The 24126-nt window shown below is 36.9% G+C and overlaps 1 long non-coding RNA gene across 2 annotated transcripts; it reads left to right on the forward strand.

Moving 5' to 3' along the window:
- Positions 1-1058: 1058 nt before the first annotated feature.
- On the forward strand, positions 1059-20207 carry LINC01445 (long intergenic non-protein coding RNA 1445). Of its 2 annotated transcripts, none has more exons than NR_120515.1 (3): positions 1059-1180; positions 17656-17727; positions 19260-20207. It is a non-coding gene; the product is annotated as a long intergenic non-protein coding RNA 1445 (long non-coding RNA). The 2 variants fall into 2 exon arrangements; NR_120516.1 differs by having other exon boundaries at positions 19727-20207.
- The last annotated feature ends 3919 nt before the right edge of the window (positions 20208-24126 follow it).

Here is a 24126-nt window from a genome sequence, read left to right on the forward strand (position 1 = left end):
ACACATGTTTTAGATGGCCTTATAATTTTACATACAACAGAAACTTAGGGAAATGCTCACAAGGCATGACTCTTATAGTACCTGTCTAAAGGTTCCTGAGGGATGGCAGGATCGATTGTCTGAGACAGCAGAGAGGCAGAAGAAATATTGGATGGCACTTAACTCTTTCACATATAACTGGTCTATATAGTTGACATTTAATTTAATTCAGGGGTTCAGAAGAAACACAGGAAAAATTTCAATGAAATGACACATCTACACATTCATAATAAATTAATTTGAGTAAAAAAACAGACAAAAAACCTGTTTCTCCCTCTACATTCTTACACAGTCAATCACACTCAATGCAACACTTTACCTCTGGTTACCAAAATGTATGTGAGAGTTTCTGCCACCAGCACAGGCAATGCTTCTGTGAACACCAGCGCGGTGTCCTGTGATTCAGTTCAATTCTGACTCTATCTACCTGGAGGAAGCTCCAGACCCCACAAGTGAGGGCTCAGCCCCAGAAGGTTGCCCCCACTTCAGGTGACAGTCCCAAGCTTGTGACTGACCAGCTATAAACCTGGGTTCCTGGGACCCTTCCTTGGGTTCCAATAATTTGCTAGAGCAACTCAGAGAACTCAGCTAAACACTTACTTACATTTTCCCATTTATCATAAAGGACATTGCAAAGGATTCGGGTGCCAGACAGACAGAGGAGATGCACAGGGCAAGAAATGTAGGGAGAAGCAGAGCTTCCATGCCGTCTTTTGGATTGGAGCCAACCCCAGACATCTCTATGTGTTCAGCAATCTGGAAGCTTTCTGAACTCAGCCTTTTGGGTTTTTATGGAGGCTTCATTATGCAGTCATAGTTGATTAAATCATTGTCCATTGATGATCAACTCAACCTTCAGTTCCTCTCCCCTTCCTAGAGGTTAGAAGGTGGGGCTGAAAGTTCCAACCCCTTCATTACACAGGTGGTTTGTTCCCCGGGAAACCAGCCCTCACTCTAAGGGTATCCAGGAGCCCACTGAGAGCCACCCCGTTAGAACAAAAGATGCTTTTGTCACTCAGGACATTACAAAGGAGCTCTGTGTCAGAAGCTAGGATTAAAGAACAAATACAGAACAAATTATTCCTCCAGCACCCCTACTGCAAGGATTTTAAGAACTCTATCTCAGGATAAAGACCTGAGGGTAAGGACCACCATATATATTTCTTATTACAGATACCAAGAAAATAACACATTAATGGTAAATTAATATTCAAAAATTATATAAAAATAGCAAAGAACTCTCACTTTAAATATATTAAAGTTAGAAAGGTAGAAATATTAAATACTCATATGAAATCTTTAGCCTGAAGCAAAATCTTTTTAAGGTATTTTATACGTAAAAAATACTTTTATTTTATATGTATTTACATATATTTTATATGTATATATTTATATTTATATGTTTGTATGTATGTTGTTTATGTATCTATATTTACATTCATATTTATGTTTGTTATATATTACATATCTATGTTACATGTTAAATTTAAATTACTTTATTCTGTCATTATGCATATATACACACATATTCAAATTCAGAAATACACATGCAGATATCTACCTACAAGATTTAAACATCATTTTCTAATTGAAGTTTTACAAGCAGTAGAGTTTAGTAATTGTAAATAAATAAAAAGAATTTTCTTCTACTAAAGGTCATCATTTCCATATAGAAAGGATCAAAATCCTCATTTTTTTCTAAATACAGCTAAGAACAAAATATTGTTTAATAGCTAAGCATTTTGCAAGTTTGATGTTAAGCCGACTTAGAAGTTACATTAGTACATCAGCTAAGGCTGTAATGAGCTGACTGTGCCTGTCTCCTTTGACTGATGGTAGCCATTTGAACCAACAAACAAACAAAGCCTCAAGGCAGCTGTTGAAGTAGACACAGTAACCCACTACATTATTTTAAGATAAAACCATAGTAAATGTTTCAGACCATAGATTGTTCACATAAGATTTCTCTTCTTTTGTTTTAACCAGAAGAAAATGACATACTTCAAACCATTATGTTAAGAACATAGTTTTCACTAAGTCTTGATTTTATTTTGAACCAGTTAGCAAGCTGGAAAGCAGGAAACAGAGCTAAGTGCTGATCACTGAAAAGTTAATATATGTGAAAATGAATAAATTCTGAAACTAATATTTTAATTGTTAATACAAATAGTTTGTGATTTTATAAGCATATTATGTTGAAATACAAAACAAATTGTTCATTCAGAATCTGCATCACATTGTCAATAGTTGGCTTGTAATGCCAAAAGTGCACTATATTTTTCTTAGTAACTTGACATAAGATTCTATTCCAGGAAACTCTGAGATTCTGCCATTTTAATTACAGGTGCAAGAGCAAATGCTCATTCTCTTGTCCCACCTTAACCTACCTTGAAGCACACATATAAAACCAAATGATTACTTGGGACATTTCAAACTAAACTGCTTTCACTTCAGGCTCTCTCTCAGGAATACCTCATTTACTACTCCATATCTCTAAAATCATTTTAGAAATTGTCTTCGGGGCAATAAGAATAAAAAAGGAATGAAGGCCCATAAGCTGCAGATATTTAACACATAAATATGCTATTTATAAGCAACAAATTTTTGCACTCCAGAATTTTTAAGGTATGTAATGGCTTATGAGGAGAGATGCGCATTTAAGCTAAAGGACCCAAATGCTTTGAGGGACATAATACTCCAGAATGTTCTGCTTCAGAGAACACTGCTTCTAAAAATCACTTTCAGGGAAAGGGCCTATTTTGGCTCACTGTTAAATGATTGCATTTCCATCCAGCTCATTCATTTGACATCCACTGGAATTCTCTGTAGAGTCAGAGATTGAAGCAAGCTTCAGTTAATATCTCAGAAGACACATAAGATGTGGATGTCAATTGGGCCCATTCAAATCTACAAATATGACCAGGAATATTTGGAAATTGTGTATCACACCAAGAAAGATAATAGCTTTCTGAAAGCAAATAGTTTAAATGCTTAGAGTACAACGTGGAGGAAATAAAGGAAGTATTTATCTGTGAGAGAGGACACAGTTAATCCACTTAATTTGAATTTGAATTAAAACGACTCAGCAAAGGTATTCCAAATTGTTCAGCCAATTGTATAAGCAAAACATTTTTTATTTGTCTTTACTTTTGAATAAATTAAAAATGCTTTGAATTTCAGAACATGAATGACTAGGGAGCCATCGTAATAATATCGTAATGACATATGGAATAACTGTCTAAATTGCTTCCTTCAAATGTCCTCTAGCTTTTATTACTTTTTAATTATTAAATATATCAAAATTACAAAATATTTTATCTAGTATATTTTAAGCTTAAAGAATGATGCTAAAACCAATGTATCCATCTAAAGAAATGATGTCACCAGTTCTTTTAAAACCTGCCCTGCGCACCTTACATCACACCACCTCCCCACCCCCACCCTGGGGCAAATAGCTGCTGGCCTAGGTTCCTCTGAAATACTCCCTTGAATTTCTTTAAAGGTTTTACCACCTATGACTGATTCTCTAAACAATATGTTGTTCAGATTTGCCTGGTTTGACCTTACAATAAAGCAGTCATTTTGTGTGTTTTGTTTTCAAGTCAGGATCTTGCTCTGTCACCCAGGCCAGGCTGGAGTGCAGTGGCACAATCAGGACTCCCTGCAGCCTTGACCTCCTGGGCTCAAACAGTCTTCCCCAATTCAGCCTCCTGAATAGCTAGGACTACAGATGTGTGCCCCCATGCCCGGCTAATTTTTTGTATTTTTTTTTGCAAAGAAGGGATCTTGCTATGTGGCTCATGAGGGTCTTGAACTTCTGGGCTCAAGCAGTCTGTCTGCCTCAGCCTCCCAAAGTGCTGGGACTACCATGCCCAGCCCTTCTGTGACTTTCTTTTTCTGTTCCCCAACATTAGATTTCTGAGTTTGTCCTGGCTGATGTCTAGCTTTGATTCACCATTTTCCCCTCTGGATATATTATGTCAACAAGCCAAAATTTATTCATCGGTTGTTAGACATTTGAACTGTTTCCCCTCGAGGCCATGGCAACCAGTGTTGCCACAAATATTCTTTTATATTTCTACTGGGACACAGACATAATAAATGCCTCACACTAAGTACCTAAGGGTGGCATCTTTTATATTCATAAAATTGCTGAGTATTTTTGTTTCTATTCTCTGGAAGAATTTACATAAAATCCTAAGTATTTGTGTGTTGGATGTTTGGTTAAAAAAATCACCTATAAAACCATCTGGGCAAGATATTTGTTTTGGGAAGAATTTTAACTTTGTTTTCTATTTTGATAATTGTGCTGTTTGAGTCTAAAGTTGAGGTTCTTGCAAAGCGGACTCAGTTACATTCCCTGTGGATATGAGGTTTCTGGCCCCTGCTTCTAATGTCCAGCACAGCTGAATTGGGGCAAACAACAACAGTTGCAGTGTTGAGGCCCATTTCCTAGCTCATATGTGGAGGATGCATTTCTCATTTGATGTCTCTCCCTTCTCTGGGGCCCCTGGTTGTCATCACTACTGGATAACAAACCTCTTTTCCAGAACCCACATAGAGGCATGCTACCTCAGCATGGGATTGTGAACAGCCACAGCAATGGCTTGATTTAGCAGGTATTATTGATTTCCCATCTAACTGTTTCAGATATTCTCACATTTTAATAAAGGGTAATTTTTTGTCATATAGCTTTTTCTAAAAATTTCAATTTAATTTTTTCTGCAGTAATGAGTTATTCACAATTTGACATAATTGTTCCTCATTTAGTGATTTGCTATGTAGTTATTTCTAAAGGCTAACAGAGCCAATGAGCCATTGTTAGAGAAATCTGTAGCTTTTAAATGAGATTTTAAAAACATCAGTTGTTGATTCTTTTTCCTCATATTTCCTTTTTTTCTGTTTTCCACCTTCTGTTCTGAATACTGAATATGTTTGCTAAGTTAATCATCACCGCATTCTTTGGAGATAGGAACTAATACTACCTTACACAGATATTAAGACTAAGACTCAGAATAGTCAAGGAATTTTTCAAACTCACCTCACTAGTAAGTGGAAGGGTCAGAATTTAATTCTGTGGGCAGAGGTTGTGCACAGGACTTTCCTCTGAGGCAACTGTAAGGATATTCTATTTTTGGTGTATCTGTGGGTTTCTCTTTATGGTTGAGCTTCATAGAAGGTTTTTGAGTGATCAGTTATAGATTATGTAGTAAGATTCCTTAATATGATTTTTAAATGAACAAAGGTTTTGACTAAAAATGAAAAGGCAGACTAGGAATAGAGCACAGCAGAATGTCTAGCAATATAATAAACAGCATCTGAGACAATTACTGAATTGGAAGTTAGAGTTGAAGAAATTATGTAGAAGGCAACCCAAATATAAGGAAATAAACATAAAAGACAGGTGGGAAGGTATAGGAGAGAAAATGAAAAGGTCAAACATACTACTGATCCGAGTTTTAGGAGGAGAGAAAAAAGATAGGGGTGGAGTGGGAGCATACTCTAAGAGGTAACACGTGAGAATTGTTTAGAATTAATGAGCAAAATGAATCTTTAAATTCAGGAAAGCTAACAAACATCACACTAGGTACATGAAAGAACAGAATAAAACAAGCGAAGCAAAGAAAATCATTTAAAACAGCCAAGAAAACAGAGATTTCCCGTAAAAGAATGGTGATTAGACCAACAATGAGCTTCCCAATATACTAACGGAAGCCAGAGACAGCAAGATAGTATTTTCTGAATTCCTGGAGCACATGGCTGCCAGCTGAGAGCTACTCAATGAGATATCCTAGGGATGTTTTGCACAAGTTCATCAGGGGGCATGTACCAGGGTATTTATTGCAGCATGGACTTAAGCAAAATACTGTATCATTTAAAAATGCATTGAAGGTATGTGGGAACTGCTACATATGAAGATAAAGGTAAATGGTTAAATTTGGAAGATGACAAATAGGAAAATTCAAAGACATTGCCAGGGATTCAAGAAATTTAGAACAGTTGGTTCCTTGACAGAAAATGAGGCCATGTCACCAATAGAAGAAGATGAGAAAGAACCTTGAAATAGAGTTTTAAAGGACAAATTTTCAAAGAAAGAAAAGATGATTTCAGAGATTATCTAGAAAGAAAATTTTACTTAGAACCTATGCTACTGAAATTACAACCAAACTGAAAGTTCCAGTTATTTTGTTAGAGAACGAAGTATTCTTTACCATTACTTTGTGATAAGGCCTGAGCATGCTCTAGAGTCTTCAAATTTGATCTTTGTCACCTGATTCTTTTATGCCAGTGTGATAGTCAAACTAATATGGCTAGAAATTTATAAGCCAAGAAATAACAATTCTGTTTTTATGTCAGGTACATGTGTGTGTATATCTATTCACTTTTTTCCATACCACTTCTAAGTACCTAGAGCAAATAGCCACTACCTTTCACTGAAACTACACAGTAGCTTCTTAATTGTTCTTATAGTTTCAATCTTGCTTTGTGACAATTAATCAATCCTCCACATAGCAAACATAATTATCTTATAATATAACTAAGATCATGTCATACCCCAGGTTAGCACATCTCATAAAATCCAACACACCAGCATCCCATCACCTAAAAGTCCTTGCGGGAACTGAATCGACCTCCTTCTCTAGCTTGCCCTGGTCTCCTTTTCTCTATCTCACAGCTTCTTTCTATTTCAGTGTCTCTCATGAGGCAAAATGCATGGTACTTGACACATTCTCTTACTTCTGCTCACAACACTCTTCATAGCTCTCCATCTGGTTAACTGATGCATCCTTCCAGTCTCATCCTAAATACCCTTCCCTGGAGAGGCCCTACCTAGCCACCCAATTTAAATTACTTCTCACTGTTTAACTCTCTTATAACACCTTGCACATTTTCTTGTGTTAAAGGAATATTATAATGTAGAGACATTCTATTTTACATGTTTTATATGTGTATTAGAGTATTATATTCCTAATTCCTCCCTCCCATGCCATGTGTCATTACCCTCATTCATTTCACTTACACATAAGCTATAATCATAGAATATATCAGTTATTATTATTTTGAACAAACTGTTGTCTCTTAGCTCAATTGAGAATAGGAAATAGAAGATTTTATTTTATCTTCCCTTATTTCTTCCCTAAATCTTTCCTTTCTTTATGTAGCTCCATGTTTCTGATCTGTATAATTTTTTTTCTCTCTAAAGAACTTTTTTAAAAAGCATTTTTTGCAAGGCAGGTCTACTGACAATACATTCCCTCAGTTTTTGGTTGTCTGAGAAAGTTTTTATTTCTCTTTCACTTTTGAAGGGTAATTTTGCGTGGTACAGAATTACAGGCTGGTGGTTTTTCCTCAATACTTTGAATTTTTCACTCTGTTCTGTGCTTGCTTGCCTGGTTTCTGAGACGTCAGATGTAATTCTTATAATTACTGCTCTATAAATAAGATGTTTTTCCCTCTGGCTTCAGTCAATATGTTTTCTTTATTTTGGATTTTCTGCAGTTTGAATATTATATGCCTGAATATAAGTGTAGGGCTTTTTCCTTCTCTCTTCTTGTGCTTTTTTTTTCTTTTTGGCACTTATCCTACTTGGTATTCTCTCCACTTCCTGAAATTGTGGTTGGGTCTCATATTAATTGGTGAAGTTCTTAGTCATTATTATTTCAAATATTTCTTCTGTTCCTTTTTCTCTTTCTTTTTCTTCTTGCATTCCCTGTGTTTGTATGTTACACCTTTTGTAATTGTCTCAAATCCTTTAATATTCTATTTTATTTTTTTCAGTCTTTTTTTTTTGCTTTGCTTTTCAATTTTGGAAGTATTTATTGACATATCTTCAAATATGAAAATCCTTTCCTCAGCCATGTCCAGCCCATTAAAAGCATTTAAAATTTTTCTGTGACAGTGTTTTTGATTCTAGAATTTATTTAATTCTGCCTTAGAATGTCCAGCTGTCTGCTTACGTTGCCCATCTGTTCTTGGGTGTTGCCTACTTTTTCCAACAAAGCCTTTAACATTATTCTTTCATATTCCTAATCTTATAATTCCCACATCCCTGCCATATCTGAATCTGGTTCTGATGCTTGTTCTGTCTTTTCAAGCTGTATGTTTTGCTTTTTAGTATGCCTTGTAATTTTTTGTTGAAAGTATAACGTGAAGTACCTGGTACTGTTTCCTACAGAGATTTCTGTTTTGCTATGCTGTGATTCTCATTACCTGTTTGTCTGTTTCTCCACTTTTAGGCATAGTGGTTTGTCCTGAGACCTCACTTTTCTGTGGGTCTAAGAAGGCTGTTGATTTTCAGTTCATTCAGCTTTTCACTTGTTGTTAGGATGGAGTAACAGCTTCCCAGTTTATTCCCAGCCAGGCCAAAGGCCAGAATCAAATTTCCTTTTAAGTACACAGTTTATAAACAGTTATTTTTGTGACTTTGTTTCCGTTCTTTTTAGCTTTCTAGGAGAGACATTTAAAAAATAATCACCCTTACACTTAGCAACTTATGTGTAGTACTACTCTCAGTCTCAAGTACATAGTAGAAAATCTGTCAATATTTCAGATTTAAGGAAAAAGAAATTAAGTCCTAGATCTATTTAGTCACTGCAGCAGATACGTGTGACTACTTTTGTGAGCATCATTCTGCTTAAACATTCTCTATTGAGTTACAGCTTTTAAAAACTCCTAACTACTAGTTAAAACTAAGAAACTTTTATTTGTGCTTAGATGTGCTTTGATCTCCGGTGGGTGTTCACATGAATAACAGTGCTTTTTGAAATTCATATGCCAAACTACTCTCTCTTAGATAGTGTTTACTTGTAAGAACACCAGGCAATATGTTGTAATCATTGCCTTAAGGTTTATGGTGGGTTTGACTTCTATAAACACTAATGAGAATCACTTGGCTGCTTCTATGCATAAAGTACTAGAATCCGGTCCCTAGGTTATGTTGCTTTTGCATTTGTATGGCTAATGCGTGTCATTAAACCATAATGGTAAACATAACTACTTGGAAATCATGTTTCACCTTTTTCTCCTGTGGATCCCAAATCAAATTGCAAACAATTAATTATGGTTACAACACCACTGCAGAGTAATTTTCAGTAGGAATATATTAAGAGGGGCTACACCGTTTCTGACGTTTCAACTGATAAGAAGTGACAACTCTTAGAAAGGCAGTCCTTACAAATCCACAATATATAAGGGTAGGAAAAGTAAATACCATCTTCAATATAATTAGACAAAGAAATTGGCAGATATATTTAACTCTTAAAAGTTCTGCCAGGACCCTACGCTTAAAAATTGCGGGGTAATTTAAAGTATTCCAATCAAGTTTGGATTCCATTTTTGTGGCTGATCTTCAGCAAGTACATTTTTCCTAAATAAAGAAATAATATTTGTAGAACTTTAAAATATCATCTCATCTTTCCTGGCTTTCATGTGCTCCGTGATAACTTGATTAGCCCAAGGAAGACGAAGAGATATCTGAATGGCCTGGACATGGCATGTAAAAATGACTCAGCCAACAGCTGGAAAGAAGCTGCTGGCCTTCAGGTCAGTATTTACTGGGGTGTGGTGAATTAAAACCAGATGTGCAAGCATGGACAGCTGCAGCGGAAATGCTTCTCAGTGCTATTTGCCAGCCGTGTTCCACAAAGTGGAGATAAAAGTGGTGGCAGTCAGGCAAGATCACTGTTCTCATGATCCTTACCTTCTAATGGAGAGAGACAGCATATTTGGCCAGTGAGCACTGCTCCAACTCCTTGGACTGAAGGCCACTTTATACTCTTAAAAATTGAGATCTCATCAAAACTTTTGTTTACGTGAGTTATATCCACTGATATTTACTGTAGTCAGAATTAACACTGTGGCATTTTAAGATTTTATTTACTTATTTCTACATAACAGGAAAGTCATTACATATTAACATGAAAATATTTTTATGAAAAAATAACTCCATTTAAAAAAATTAAAACAATGAAAAGAGTGTCATTGTTTTACATTTTTGCAAATCTTTGTAATATCTACTTTCATTGAAGATGGCTGGATTCTCATATCTGTGTTGGCGTTAAATATTGTTACATGTTGTTTTCGATGAAGCATATAAAGAAAGTCTACCTTGGAAAAGGTAGGCATATTTTAATAGCCTTTCAGTTATTCTTTGATATTACACTGAAGGGAGGCAGCTTCATAAAGATGAATTGCAATGTGGGATGTGAAGTCATATCAGTGAACTTTCCAGACTCCGTTATATACAAATCCTTTCATCTTGCACTTTGAATGGATCTTTTACCCATTCATGATTCTGTAAAATCATGTATTAGTCATTTGAAAAATAATGAATCACAGGTTTATGAAGATCTTCCAAATATTGACACATTTGATTACACTATATATAATCGCATTTGTTAGTATCATCTCAAATATCATCAAAAAGACTTTAAATCTTGGGAAGCTGTCAATGGTAGCAGATACAAAGCTTTAATTTTATTATTGGCAACAAAATACCATCAGTTTTATGATAGGCTCACTTTATTCATTTTCAAGAAAATAAAGAATCTTCAGTCATTTATTCAAGCAAAGATAATTTTTTATGAAAAAGTCTCTAGTCCAGCTCACAACTTAATTTCGCAAGCACTTTTCCTCAAGAATTCCATCATACTCTGGTATGCTGTGGAAGTACTTAACATAGACTTCCTATTTCATAACACAAGATATTAATAATACAGGTACTAATAGCTCAAAATACAGTGAAATTAACTTTTTGTGCTTCATCAAAAGATATTCTTGTTTTTTTTTTTTTTTTGAGACAGAGTCTTGCTCTGTCATCCAGGCTGGAGTGCAGTGGTACAATCTCGTCTCACCGCAATGTCCACTTCCCAGGTTCACGCGATTCTCCTGCCTCAGCCTCCCGAGTAGCTGGGATTACAGGTGTGTGCCACCATGCCCGGCTAATTTTTGTATTTTTAGTAGAGACAAGGTTTTGCCATGTTGGCCAGGCTGGTCTTGAACTCCTGACCTCAGGTGATCCACCCGTCTCGGCCTCCCAAAGTGCTGGGATTACAGGCGTGAGCCACCGCTCACAGCCAACAGACATTCTTAAGTAAAACTGGTTTTATGCATTTATTTGTTTGTTTTCCTGCAAGTATCGCCAATGAAGAGTTCAATGACCTGCTAGTACACCTTGCTGCCGCTGCACCAACGTGCACTGAGCCATCGCAGACTGTGATGGCTTAGTATAATTAAAAATTGTTTTCAATTTTTGTAAACCTGTCAAAAGTGTTGTGAATACATGGGATACACTTTGAGAACCACTGGAGTAAACAAATAAATTATCAAAATAATCACAAATATGATAAGGGCTGCAATTATAATAAAATATGATGGGGGATGATTGATCACTGGAATATAACTTACTAAGGAGTTCTTTCTTCACTTCCCAATCAAAGCTAGTAATATGTTGGCTAAGTAACCTGGATGACTATTACTTGTCTTGATTAGGCTTGATTAGAACTCTCCACAATTCAAATTATTTATCAGAATAGTGACTGATAATTTAGTTTTGTGCGTAAAAAAATTATAAGCTCCATGAATGCATATTTTGTTCTGTTAAACTTTTATTCTTAATAAATTATTCTGGATCTGACTTAAGTTATATATGTGTGCATGTGTGCATGCATGTGTGTGTATGTGTGTGTTTGTGTAGAATGAATAAATTATTGAGACCAGAGAGGACATAAATTTGAGAGACAGAATTGGGCATGATGAGTTCTGTTTCTCCATTATGAACATGAAAGGGGTCTAGGCTGTCTACTTGGCAGATGGCTAATGCAAGGTGGAATACGTGGGGCTGGCCCTTAGCAGGGAATCTGGGCTGGAGATAAAGATGTGGACACTCTCAGCTTATAGCTGCCAGTTAAGACTAATCTCACACAAGACTTGCTAATAGTCCGTAAAGGGAAAATGGCCAGGGATAAAATCCTGAGGCACACTGACATTTGGAGAGTAAGTGAGAAACCTAGAGAAAAAATTGAGAAGTGCTCCCCTACACACCTGCCCTAACGCAAAACTGTCACTTTTCCTACACTAATTATTATTTTGTGTATTTATCTAACTCTTCGAAGAACGGATTTTAATCCATTTTATTTTACAGGTTTAACAGATTTTAATATGAGTTTATTTTAATCATCTTTGTATCCCTAGCAACTAGCACAAAATACTCATCAACTTCGATCCATTTTTTGAGTTACTATTTCAATAAATGTAAGTTTATCATTTAAATTTTGGGAGTGTTTTTCACTCAGATTTTCTTTCATTCCTGTTAGGAAACAACCAAGATAAGATTGCTGTTGTAATAGGATTATCTCCAATCATCAGATTGATTAAATGTTCTCTAACCTGTAACTTGCAGTGTTTCTTGAAAAACATCCTTTCTTAGTCCTTGATTTTTGAAAAAAAAAAAATGGCTTTTAGTCAGTGAGCATTAGGAGTTGAAGAAAATGAGTTCATCTTTGGCTGAGAAGTCAATAGGATTCTGCTGCTTACTTTTTTTTTTAATGCCTCTAAAGCTTTCATTCTCAAAATGCATGGGAATAAGCCATTTAGAAAGTGCATCAGTAACAAAATCTTATAGGGCTGTGTATACACATACTTGGTAAAATCTACCTATGATTTTTGAAAATATTTATTAAATTCCAAAACTCAATTCTCTAAAGGTATAAGGCCAATATTAATAATTTTCATTTGATACCAAGAAACACCTTATATCAAACTTGATAAAGGAGTTACTCTCTGAACTAGGAAAATCAAATCTAATTTTCAGTGACCTAAAATTAAGAAAAAAATAGATCACCATTAGCACTAAGTTTGTGTAAAATACAAAATGTCAAATGTATGAATCAGCCTGATATAATTAAGACCTCTGCTCCATGGAACTATTAAAGTAGAAATACACAAACATAAGTCAACAAGCAAATTGTACATTGTAAACTATCATACCCATGTAAACTATACACACCCATGCATACACACACATTCATAAACAATGTTCCAGAGAAAAACACATGCTTCAATAAACAGCAAATCATAAAATTTAGTTTGCTTTTTCAGTAGCAAATGAAAATATATAGAACTTCAGGAAATGAGAAAGTTGGAGGATTCTTGAAGAGGCCTTGAGTTGTCTTTTAGGGATGAATCATCTCCCCAAATTCGTGAACACAGAAATACCCCATGGATTTTTACTCATAGTCTGCTGGCCACACAAGGGAAGAGGAGATATGAGATTGTAGGATAGTAGCAGGTACAAAACTGGTACAGGTTGAATAGCCCAAATCCAAAAAACCCAAGTCTGAAATGTTACAAAAGTCTAAACTTTTTGACTACTGACAAGACGATCTCAAAAAAAATACTCACTGGAACAATTCAGATTTTGGATTTTTGGATTCAGAATACCCAACCAGGAAGTATAATGCAAACATTCCAAAATAAAAAAAAAAATCCAAAATTCAAAATACTTCTGGTGTTAAGCATTGGATAAGAAACAGTCATCCTTTCCTTTACATTTAATAATGGAAAATAAAATGTTTCCTCTAAATTGCCTAGTATTGTTGTACATTATTTTAAATCTGCCATTCCACTGTGGCCTAACGTCCTCAAGCCAAGGTTGATAAAAATGCTAAATATTAACTTAAATTACAAAATACATTACAGATAGAGTCAATGTCCACATCATGTCTCTGTAGAAGCGAGCTGTTAACAGGCACTGGTGGGATGCCTTGCCCTTAAGAGGCTACAGTCTGATGTGAGTTGCTTTATTCTCATCCCGCAAACATCCAGTCCTCTCCAGACACTTGTACTCAGGAATGTGTCTAGGTTTAGCGGGTCCGCCGAAGCTTACACAATTTAAAGAAAACAGCTTCAAACTGGTCAACAAAATTATAACACATCTTAAAACATGTCGCCTTTTGAAACCTAGCATCTGGCTGCGTGCATTTCCAGCTTTGTGACTCCTCCGCTCCACATCCGTCCAGCCCCAGCCCTGGAGGACACACCCTTACTGCCACGCCATCTTTGTTTCCTGACCTGGTGACACCAGCTTACCCTCTCTTAGTCATCTGGTCTCCTCTTCAACTTTGCCTCAAACTTACACAGACAATTCTGGACTTCCAGATATTTGGATTTTAGAGTTTTGCACATTAGAACCCACAGATGCCACCAGCGTACCTTCTGTCTTCTGTTGTTGATTTCACACGACTTCCTGGAGACCTGATGGCCAGACTCGCCTCTGATGGAAAGCAACTGACCTCAATTGACTGAGCAGGAATGCCTGCAACTGGCAGGATAGAACATGTGGCCCAACGCTGAGCACATCTTCCGCATATGTCCTCTGCATGTGGCTTGTGAATAATGCTGTTTGGGATCTGATCTATTTACTGGTTGTTCCACATGAGTATATGCAGTTTTCCTTCTCTGAACCTGATGTCATTACTTCACTGTCATAGCTTTACCTGGCTGGCTGCCTCCTGTCACACTAGCCCATGCACTGGTCACAGAAATACATTTGGGCTAGAAAAAAACCAAGACCTTGAGTAAGCAATTGCTCCAATGGCTAAATCTTGGGCAAGGCTTTCTCCTGGGACTTATTGCTGGAAAATTACACCAGACCTTCTCTACTTAGGTTTGAAAATATTCTTTTGATTTTCATTTTTACCACTATTTAATAAAAATTCTGCCCCAAACCAAAGCAACTCAGTTTTAACAATCTGTTAGTACTGAAAACTCGTATACTTTTAAAATGTCCGAAGGTACCTCTTTTATGAGTCAGGCAATATCAAAAAGTGTATGTCTCAATATAATCAAATATGTTCTTTAAAGAATTTTAGAAAAGTTAGTGGAACAAACAAACAAATGCTGTTTTCAATAACATTGTAATGGAAGTTGAACGTTTTTATAGTTTCTTTTTTTCTAATAGTGATTCCATCAATAGCATCCATGTATATCATCTAACTTAATCTTCACCTCAACTCTGGGACTCAGTGAAGGATGATACAACCTCCAATAACATCATTCTCTTGATATTTCGAGAATAATATTTTGCAGGTATTATCTGTGCAGTTCAACAGCTTTAGCAAAAGATTTACCTCTTTCAGCAGAGCAGAAATTTAGCCTGACAAAAGTGGGGAGGTAGAGAATTAGTGTGAAAAAAGTTTCCCCTTTCCTTTCTCAATTTAAAGGAAGGGTCACAGAATATGGGTCTGAATGAGAGTCACATAGTTTTGAATTTCATTTGGAGCCCCAAACACCACAAGCTGTATACCCTTCAATCAAAAAGAAAATTATAACTCTGAGCTGCATTTCTATCAGAGAAAAGCAAATGTTGTGATTTTTGCACTGAAATCAAATTTAGCTGGAATGATTCAATAAAATGATGGTATCATTATAAATGTTGCACTCTTTCTTAAAGTTTGATTAGTCTAGACACCTGAGTTGAAAAATGACTGTTGCCTGATACTTCAAAGCACACTTGACAACTTTGATTAAATATTTATGTTAAATGTAGATGACTTAAAATGAAATGTGTTCCAATCAAGACACTAGCAAGCAGAACATATGTAACTTGTCAGCGTTAGAGCTCTGGTTTCGGGCAGTTTGATTTGAGGTTCAGCCAACTCCAGAGGTACAGTCAACTCCAGAGGTGCAGCTCTCCAACTTCCACTACTTAAATGGGGGTCACAGCAGGTCTGCGTTTCACGTGGCAGTATCCAAGCAACTCAATATCCAGTAATTCCCTGGAATTGTTGAAAAGAATAAAAAGTAAGCAAGGAGCAGCTTGTTGTATTCTCTCTTTCCTCCTTGTATTACAACCATAAACCCCCATATATGCTCTCTCGTAAACAAGATTTTAGAGCACCGTCGAGGGCAACTCTCTTAATCTTTTAAAATGTTTTTAAAACGTTTGTAATTCCAGTTCTTATTCCTAATTACTTGAGAATTTATATGTGTCTGTTCAATTCAAAACAACCCTATTGCATTTTCTTTTGAAGTAAGCTATCCATAACATATTTGCATTTATGTTCTGAGAGAAATAATTAATATCACCTTAATTGCTGAAGTCAGGAAATTGGAAGCCATGTTTAGCTTCCCTTTGTCATTCCTCCCACACTCTAGCTGGTGGGAAGCATCATCAAGCCTATCTGACATGCTTTGTATCTGTCATCCTCCGGACCAGCCCTGAACCAGACTGGCTCTCCATGGCCTTGCATCAGCCTAGACTGTGGTGCCAATTCTAACTCATGCCTTAGCTTGTGTGCATCTCTACACCACCACAATCTAGCCACACATTCCAGAAAGATCTTAAGTAAATCAAATCTGACATTTTGGTTGCTTTGAATCTACATTCATTAATTCTAAAGGCATTGCTTACATTTTATCATTCTTTTTTTGCTTTTTATCTTTGTATCATATTTTACAGAGATAAGTATGCAATTTTTGTTTTGATTACACTTACTGAAAAAATACATGCTTACTTCACAGAAAATCCAATGACAATTATTTTTAAAAGTGAAAACTGGGCTGGGCACAGTGGCTCATGCCTGTAATACCAGCACTTTGGGAGGCCAAGGCGGGTGAATCACTTGAGGTTAAGAGTTCGAGACCAGCGTGGCCAACATGGTGAAACCCGGTCACTACCAAAAATACAAAAAATTAGCTGGGTGTGGTGGCGGGCACCTGTAATCCTAGCTACTCAGGAGGCTGAGGCAGGAGAATCACTTGAACCCGGGAGGCAGAGGTTGCAGTGAGCCAAGGTTTTGCCATTGCACTCCAGCCTGGGTGACAAGAGCAAAAGTCTGTCTCAAAAAAAAAATTAAATTAAATAAGTAAATAAATAAATACAATATTTTTTAAAGTGAAAACTGAATGACCTCTACCTTGTACTCACTCAAGATTAATCAGTGTTAACAGAGTATTATCTATCTCCCAGGGATTAAAATTTATTCAATGGCTTCCCATTGCTGACAGCATAAATCATACCCTCGGAATTCGTTTTTGGACCTTCCCTCTCTTTTTCCTTGCAAAGTGGAGCACAGACTGGAATGGGAGGAAAATGCACAATGTGTTTGAACTTTTGCCTCTGTTTACTGCACCCATTTATTTCTCAAACTTGAGATTAAACAACACTTCCTCTAGCAAAGTTTTCCTATTGGCTTCTCTTAGGGCTTTTTGTTTAAAAGAAAAGCAGATACTCAAGCCATCACTAGTTGGGCACTAGCAGTTACTTTCAGGATATACAGGTTATTTGAAAATAAAGCTTCAATTATGATAGATTTCATGGAAGCTGCAATTAGCATTGAGACAGCATCATCATCCTTTTTCCTGGTGTCTCCATTTTTATCTTATGTCATCTCTGATGCTCTCTGAAGCCACGCCCTTTTCAGTAGTTGAAAACCTTTTATTTGCTGCTTTCTCATAATGCCAATTGGTACGTAAATTTGATTGTCTTGGCCCTGGCTTAAAGCTACACATGCTTCTGCCTTTTGCCTTCCTGGTTGCTTACCAGCTTTTGTATTTCCCAACTGAAAATTACTGCAAAAAATACTTTGGGTACAATATATACTTTTTTCCTTTTAGGTCACAAGATGTACATTGCTGGCCTCAGCTGGATTTTCCCAGGGTCAGGTGCCCATTCCTACCTAATCAAAGGTAAGGATGAAGTTGGCCTTCTGTGTGAGCCGGTGGGGGAGGGGATGAGATGGTTAACTTCATGTGTCAACTCATCCAGGTTATGGGGTCAAGTTCTTTGGTCAAACACTAATCCAAATGCTGCTCTGAAGGCATTTTATAAATGTTACAATCAATTGACTTTAAGTAAAATAAAAATCATCCTTGATAATGCAGATGAGCTTCATTCAATCAGTCAAAGACCTTAAGAGCAAAAACTGGGGTTTTCAGAGAAGAAGGATTTCTGCCTCCAGACCTTACCACAGAAATCCTGCTGAGTTCCCAGATGCCAGACTACCTTACAGATGTGGGACTTGCCAGTCCCACAACCGCATAAGCCAATCTGATCCTGAAAATATCTACCTATCTATCTATCTATCTACCTATCTATCTATCTGTGTCTATTTTTCTATCTGTCCATTTCTATCTGTCTCTGTCTATCTCTATCTATCTGTCTATCTGTGTCTATTTGTCTATCTGTCCATCTATCTCTCTATCTCTATCTGTCTCTGTGTCTATTTGTCTATCTATATCTGTCTCTCTATCTCTATCTGTGTCTGTCTATCTATATCTATCTATCTATCTATCTCTATCTGTCTGTGTATCTGTCTGTGTCTCATTGTCTGTCTATCTATCTATTTCTATCTCTGTCTGTGGTCAATCTGTGTCCAGTTGTCTATCTATCTGTCTATCTATCTATCTATCTGTGTCTATTTTTCTATCTGTCCATCTCTATCTATCTCTATCTGTCTGTGTCTATTTGTCTATCTGTCCATCTATCTCTCTATTTCTATCTATCTATCTATCTATCTATCTCTGTGTCTATTTGTCTACCTATCTATATCTATCTGTCTATCTCTATCTCTATCTGTGTCTATCTATATCTATCTATCTCTGTCTGTCTATCTATCTGTGTCTCATTTTCTGTCTATCTATCTATCTATCATCTATCTATCTATCTATCTATCTATCTATCTATCTATCTATCTATCTCTATCTCTGTCTGTGGTCAATCTATCTGTGTCCAGTTGTCTATCTATCTATCTATCTATCTGCCTATCTATCTATCTATCTATCTGTCTGTCTATCTGTGAAGATCACATCTATCCTACTGCTGCTGTTTCTCTGGAGACCTTTGACTGATATGTAATTTCTATTTCAAGGGCTATAGTGGGTTGGCACCATAGAGCATTTCTTTGACAGTGTTCTGTTGTGTTAACAAGGTAATGTAAACTGCCATTACAAAATAACCCAAAAGGTCAGCTCCAACAATGGAGATGGATGCCTTGCACACATAGGGCCACTGCATGTGTTCCTGGTGAGGAGTTGGCTTCCACGCACTGTGAGGTGCTCAGGCCTCTCCCATCACGGGGCTTTGCCTTCTCCTAAAGCCTTGGTATCCTTCCATCCAGCTGTCGGATGAGGAAAGAGGGTGGATGGGCACCTCTTCCATTAGGCTCCCTGGCGCAGAAGTGATACACTTCAATTCTCTTCATGTTCCATTGATGTAACAGGTCATGAGTCCTCACACGTTTTCAAGAGTTTGGAAAATGATCTCCCTTGCCAGACTGCCAATCTTCAAAGGGAGTTCTATATGTGGAAGAAAAAGAAAAAATTTATGTGCATTTACCCTGTTTAATACACTCATCATATATAGTATTTTTGCAACAGCAAAAATAACACTCTTAATTTAGTATGTAATTATATATGTCATATACTTAATATACAAAATATTTTCCTTGCTAACCTATACGATTTCAAATGCCTGGAACAATAGATAATTCATGTGATTACTTGAGAGTATGTAAATTTTAATATGTTAACATATACTGGCAAAGTTCTAAAAGTTGCGATTTTATGGGAGGCCAAATTATGTACATATTAGTTTGTCTGAAGACTTGAGCCAAAAGGAAACTAATACACTTCTGAGCTACAATATGGACATAATGTCATGAAGCAGGAACATTATGCTCCATTTCAGGACACTTCTGCTGACCTGCACCTAGAATACCCTGTTCTGTGCTGATGACTCAGATGTAAGAATGATGAAGTGCATCGGCTGGCATGCAGAGAACAATAAGAAAAAGAACTGAGTTGTGGGAAGACATGAGGAAAGGACATGAGGCTCTTAATAACAGCTGCCAAGTACTGCAGTCGGGAATCTGGAGCAAAGTGATTCAATTCTGACCACTGCCTGTGAGTAAATGGGATTTTATTTTTCAATACTTTTGTTTAATAGTACCTCCTTCATTACATGTGAACAGCACTCCAGGACAGTAAATCATGAAATGGGAATAAAGCCTGTAATTTTAATTAACATATTTTAAAATGTTTCTAATTTGTATGCATTTGATCAAATTTTCATTTGCATTGAGCTATTTTTTTTCTTTCTCATGTAATGTTTGACATTACCATTTCTTTCTTTAATGAAATACTAATATTTAATAAAATATATTACATCCTTAATATGACTTGTCAGGAATTTTTCTTCCTCAAACATTTGTGTGATGAAAACGAAACCTCGCTGCACATGGAATCTCAGCTGACAAGTAAAAAGAAGCATTTTTGTATTAGCGATATCTTGTTCCCTCTTGCAACGTTTCCTTCCTCTCACCTCCATGTGACCAAAATAAATGATCAGAGTGGTTCATCCTCACTACTGTCTCCCTTGCAGTGCAGCCTCTGTAACCATGCTCTGGGCAAGCAGGTACTCATCTGGGGACAGGCTCCAGTAATGGAGCATGCAATGCAAAAACTGGCATTAAAACTACATCGGGCATGGTGGCTCACACCTGTAATCCCAGCACTTTAGGAGGCAGAGGGGTGGGCCACCTGAGGTCAGGAGTTTGAGACCAGCCTGACCAACATGGTGAAATCCCATCTCTACTAAAAATACAAAATTAGCAGGGTGTGGTGGCAGGCACCTGTAATCCCAGCTACTTGGGAGGCTAAGGCAGGATAATCATTTGAATCTGGGAAGCGGAGGTTGCAGTGAGCCGAGATCACACCACTGGACTCCAGCCTGGACAACAAGAGCAAAACTCTATCTGAAAAGAAAAAAAAACAAAAACAAAAACAAACAAAAACTACATCACCTGCAGAGATGCTTTCTAAATATTCTTTTTTTTTTGTTTTGGTCAGATATAAAACACATGTATCTGCTCATTTCATTGCAAATAGAGGTTCTAACTGGTCTTGACTCTGTGCTCAATGCCCACAAAGCCATTCTGCACTCTTCTGTGCACAGGCATCAACTCCTCATTCAGTCAGCCAGCCAGGCATGTGAACAGATAGCTCACCAAACAACGTGCAACACAGTGTCCCCACCAGGAGATCTCTATGAGCAAGGATCATGTTGAATTTTTTTAGTATTCCTTGCACTTTGTGGGCACTCAATTAATGCCTTTTTGCCATAAGTGGTAGTTAATAAATGCACCTAAAATTTCAGTATAAAAAAACTACTATTCTTAGGCTTTTAGTGATGAGCTTCCTCAACAAACCTTCCCTCCCATCAGTGAGTGCTTCCCTTCGATCTGCACCTCCCAGTGTCTTGAAAGGAAAAAGAGACTGACTAATGCCCCCATCCAAAAGTCTCTCCTCATTTCATCTCACTTAACATTTCTGCAGAGTTTGCCAAATGCAGCTATTCCTTTTCCTAAAGCAGGATGCGGGAGGGGACGTAAATAGAGATTAGAAAGAAGAAAAATATTCTTACCATGTTGGGGGGCTGGATTTATGTGAAATCCAAAGTGAATCAGTCATTACAGGGCTTGGCACATAGTAATTTTTCCAAAAATGTTACCACTAGTAGTATTTTGTGATCATTAAAGATGCCAGAAACATGTATGCCTCCTTGCTTTTAGCCATGTGGTTATTAGCGCTTGAGATGTACTTTTGCTTACATTTAACGTGTCAAAAATATGCTTCTCTTTAAAGGAACAATCAAAATGTCACTTCCTTTGATTACTTCCTTCATCCCCTTTATGGGGAAAATTATTGGTTTCTTCCTTAACTCTGTTGTTTCCAATGGAAATGATAATGCTAAACCTTCAGCCATGAGAAGTGAGGTATAAAGTCATGGTGATTTACAACATCTGTCTTCTCTCCTACATTAACTGCAGGAGGGAGTAAGTCTAGCAGGGAGGCAGGCTTGGTCTCCCAGTTGCTGAAACACAAAATATTGAGGTAAGATTACAGTTTTTATTTTTAAAAAGTCAGAATTTTGCTTTGTTTTTACATTACGTGATGCTGTATGTTCAACGCATAAGTAAGAAAAATACAAAATTTTAATTTTCAATTTTTAATGTCTTTAGATTAATTTTTAATCTCATTGCAATTGTATGTATATGCATATGTATATGTATTAGGTATGTACATATGAAATACATGTTATACATTTGTATTTATTATGCATATGTAATTTATATATACATATACTATATATGAGATATATATACATTCGTGTACTATATATTGTACATATCTTTTATGTGTATATTATATGTATATGCTCATGCATATTTGTATGTGCACCAACAGCATATTCTCTACATTTCTGCATGAGCTTTTAAAACCAATTACTATGGGCCGGGCGCGGTGGCTCATGCCTGTAATCCCAGCACTTTGGGAGGCTGAGGTGGACAGATCAAGAGGTCAGGAGATCGAGACCATCCTGGCCAACTTGGTGAAACCCCATCTCTACTAAAAATACAAAAATTAGCTGGGAGTGGCTGCAGGCACCTGTAATCCCAGCTACTCAGGAGGCTGAGGCAGGAGAAACTCGTTTTCCACATGGATGTTGTGCAAGTCTCCTTCTGGTTTTTAGTGGCTGGGTTGGTGGTGGGCACACTGGGTGGGGAGGACGACAGGCAGGTCTACCAACCACCTAGGGATACTCATCTCCCCGTGGAAGTCAGTGTATTTGCCAATTAATCTTCTACTTATCCATTGATACATCTTTGTTGAGTCCTGTTCTTGATGCTAAAACATTAGCAGTGAATAAGACAAAAAAATCTCTTCTTTCAGAGAATTTATTTGAGAATTACATACAGTGAGTACTGTGAATAAAAGTAAATACAAACAAGCAAAATAATTTTAAATAGAAGCAAAGGCCATGAAGGAAATGGTTTCAGGGGCCATTATCACACCGTGGTGATAAGGTGAGAAATAAAATGTATTGAGAAAGTGTTTTAAATAACATATTTTTAAATAATTTTTTCAAGGCTAATTCTACCTGCTAGGTTACAGCTTATGGTGAAAATTGGATGCAGATAGCAGAAGAGAACTCAAAGAATATCACCAATACAGAAAGCCAATAGTGTTTACCCTTCTGGGCTGTTGTCAGGATGTCTGGTTAAGTGAAGCTTGTGTCCTCTGGACTGTGGACCACGGAAGACAGGAAGACCTGTGAGTTGCAAATAAAATCCTTGTCCCCCACCCATTGAATGGGCTCCCTCTTGACCAAAGGGATCCCATAGAAACCTTAAAATGAGTTCCCAGCCATGATGGGAAGGGAGGTTGGATACAGCTCATTATAACACCCCCTTATGGAGTTTAGACAAAACTGCCCAGAATTAATGTTAAAATAGATATTATAAGACCAATTGAATGGATTTCATGTGACAATAAGATACCAGATTATAACCAAGATGTAAGGTGATGCCAGACCAGGGTAAGTCCTGCCTGCAGGCCATCAGTCTGGCTAAACAAGGCATTTTGACCCAGCATCTTGTGGCTGACTCTGACTTAAGATCCTAATCTTAGATATTCCTTTCTGCTGACAGCAAGTTTTAGAGAGAGTCTTACTCCTTTAACCAGCTGAAAATTAAAGAATTTTTGAATCCAATTATAACCTGTAAGCTTCCACTTTAAGGTATCCTACCTTTTTAGGCCGAGCCAATGTATACATTCTACATACTGACTTACGTCACTCCTGCTTCCCTGAAATGTATAAAACCAAACTGTAATCTGACCACCATATTTTAAATAGTGTATTTAAAAGAGGTTTAAAATAAACTTTTCTAAAATATTTTAGAGTATAGCTTTTCTGTTAACAGATCTCACCAAGGAGGAAAACTAAGGAGGTAAACATTGTGATGATGATGCAATTCGCTCAGGTTCCTACAGACAGCTCTGTGTATGTTAAAGCTGACAGAATTCTATCAGCCCCACCATGGCTTAGTGCAGGCAATAAGCATTTCATTTTGAATTTAAACTTGTACTTAGAAAAATATATGTATTCGGTTGACCATATGAAGTTTCCATTACTGTAGGTCAAAATCAGTCCAATACTGGTCACTGCATGTGACTCAGCCTCATGTGTTTGCATTTAAATGGCTCCACTGCCTGCTCAGAATGGTATCCCCTAGCAAAGGCCAAGTC

This window comes from Homo sapiens, chromosome 7 (assembly GCF_000001405.40).
Source record: "Homo sapiens chromosome 7, GRCh38.p14 Primary Assembly".
NCBI classification, from domain to species: domain Eukaryota; kingdom Metazoa; phylum Chordata; class Mammalia; order Primates; family Hominidae; genus Homo; species Homo sapiens.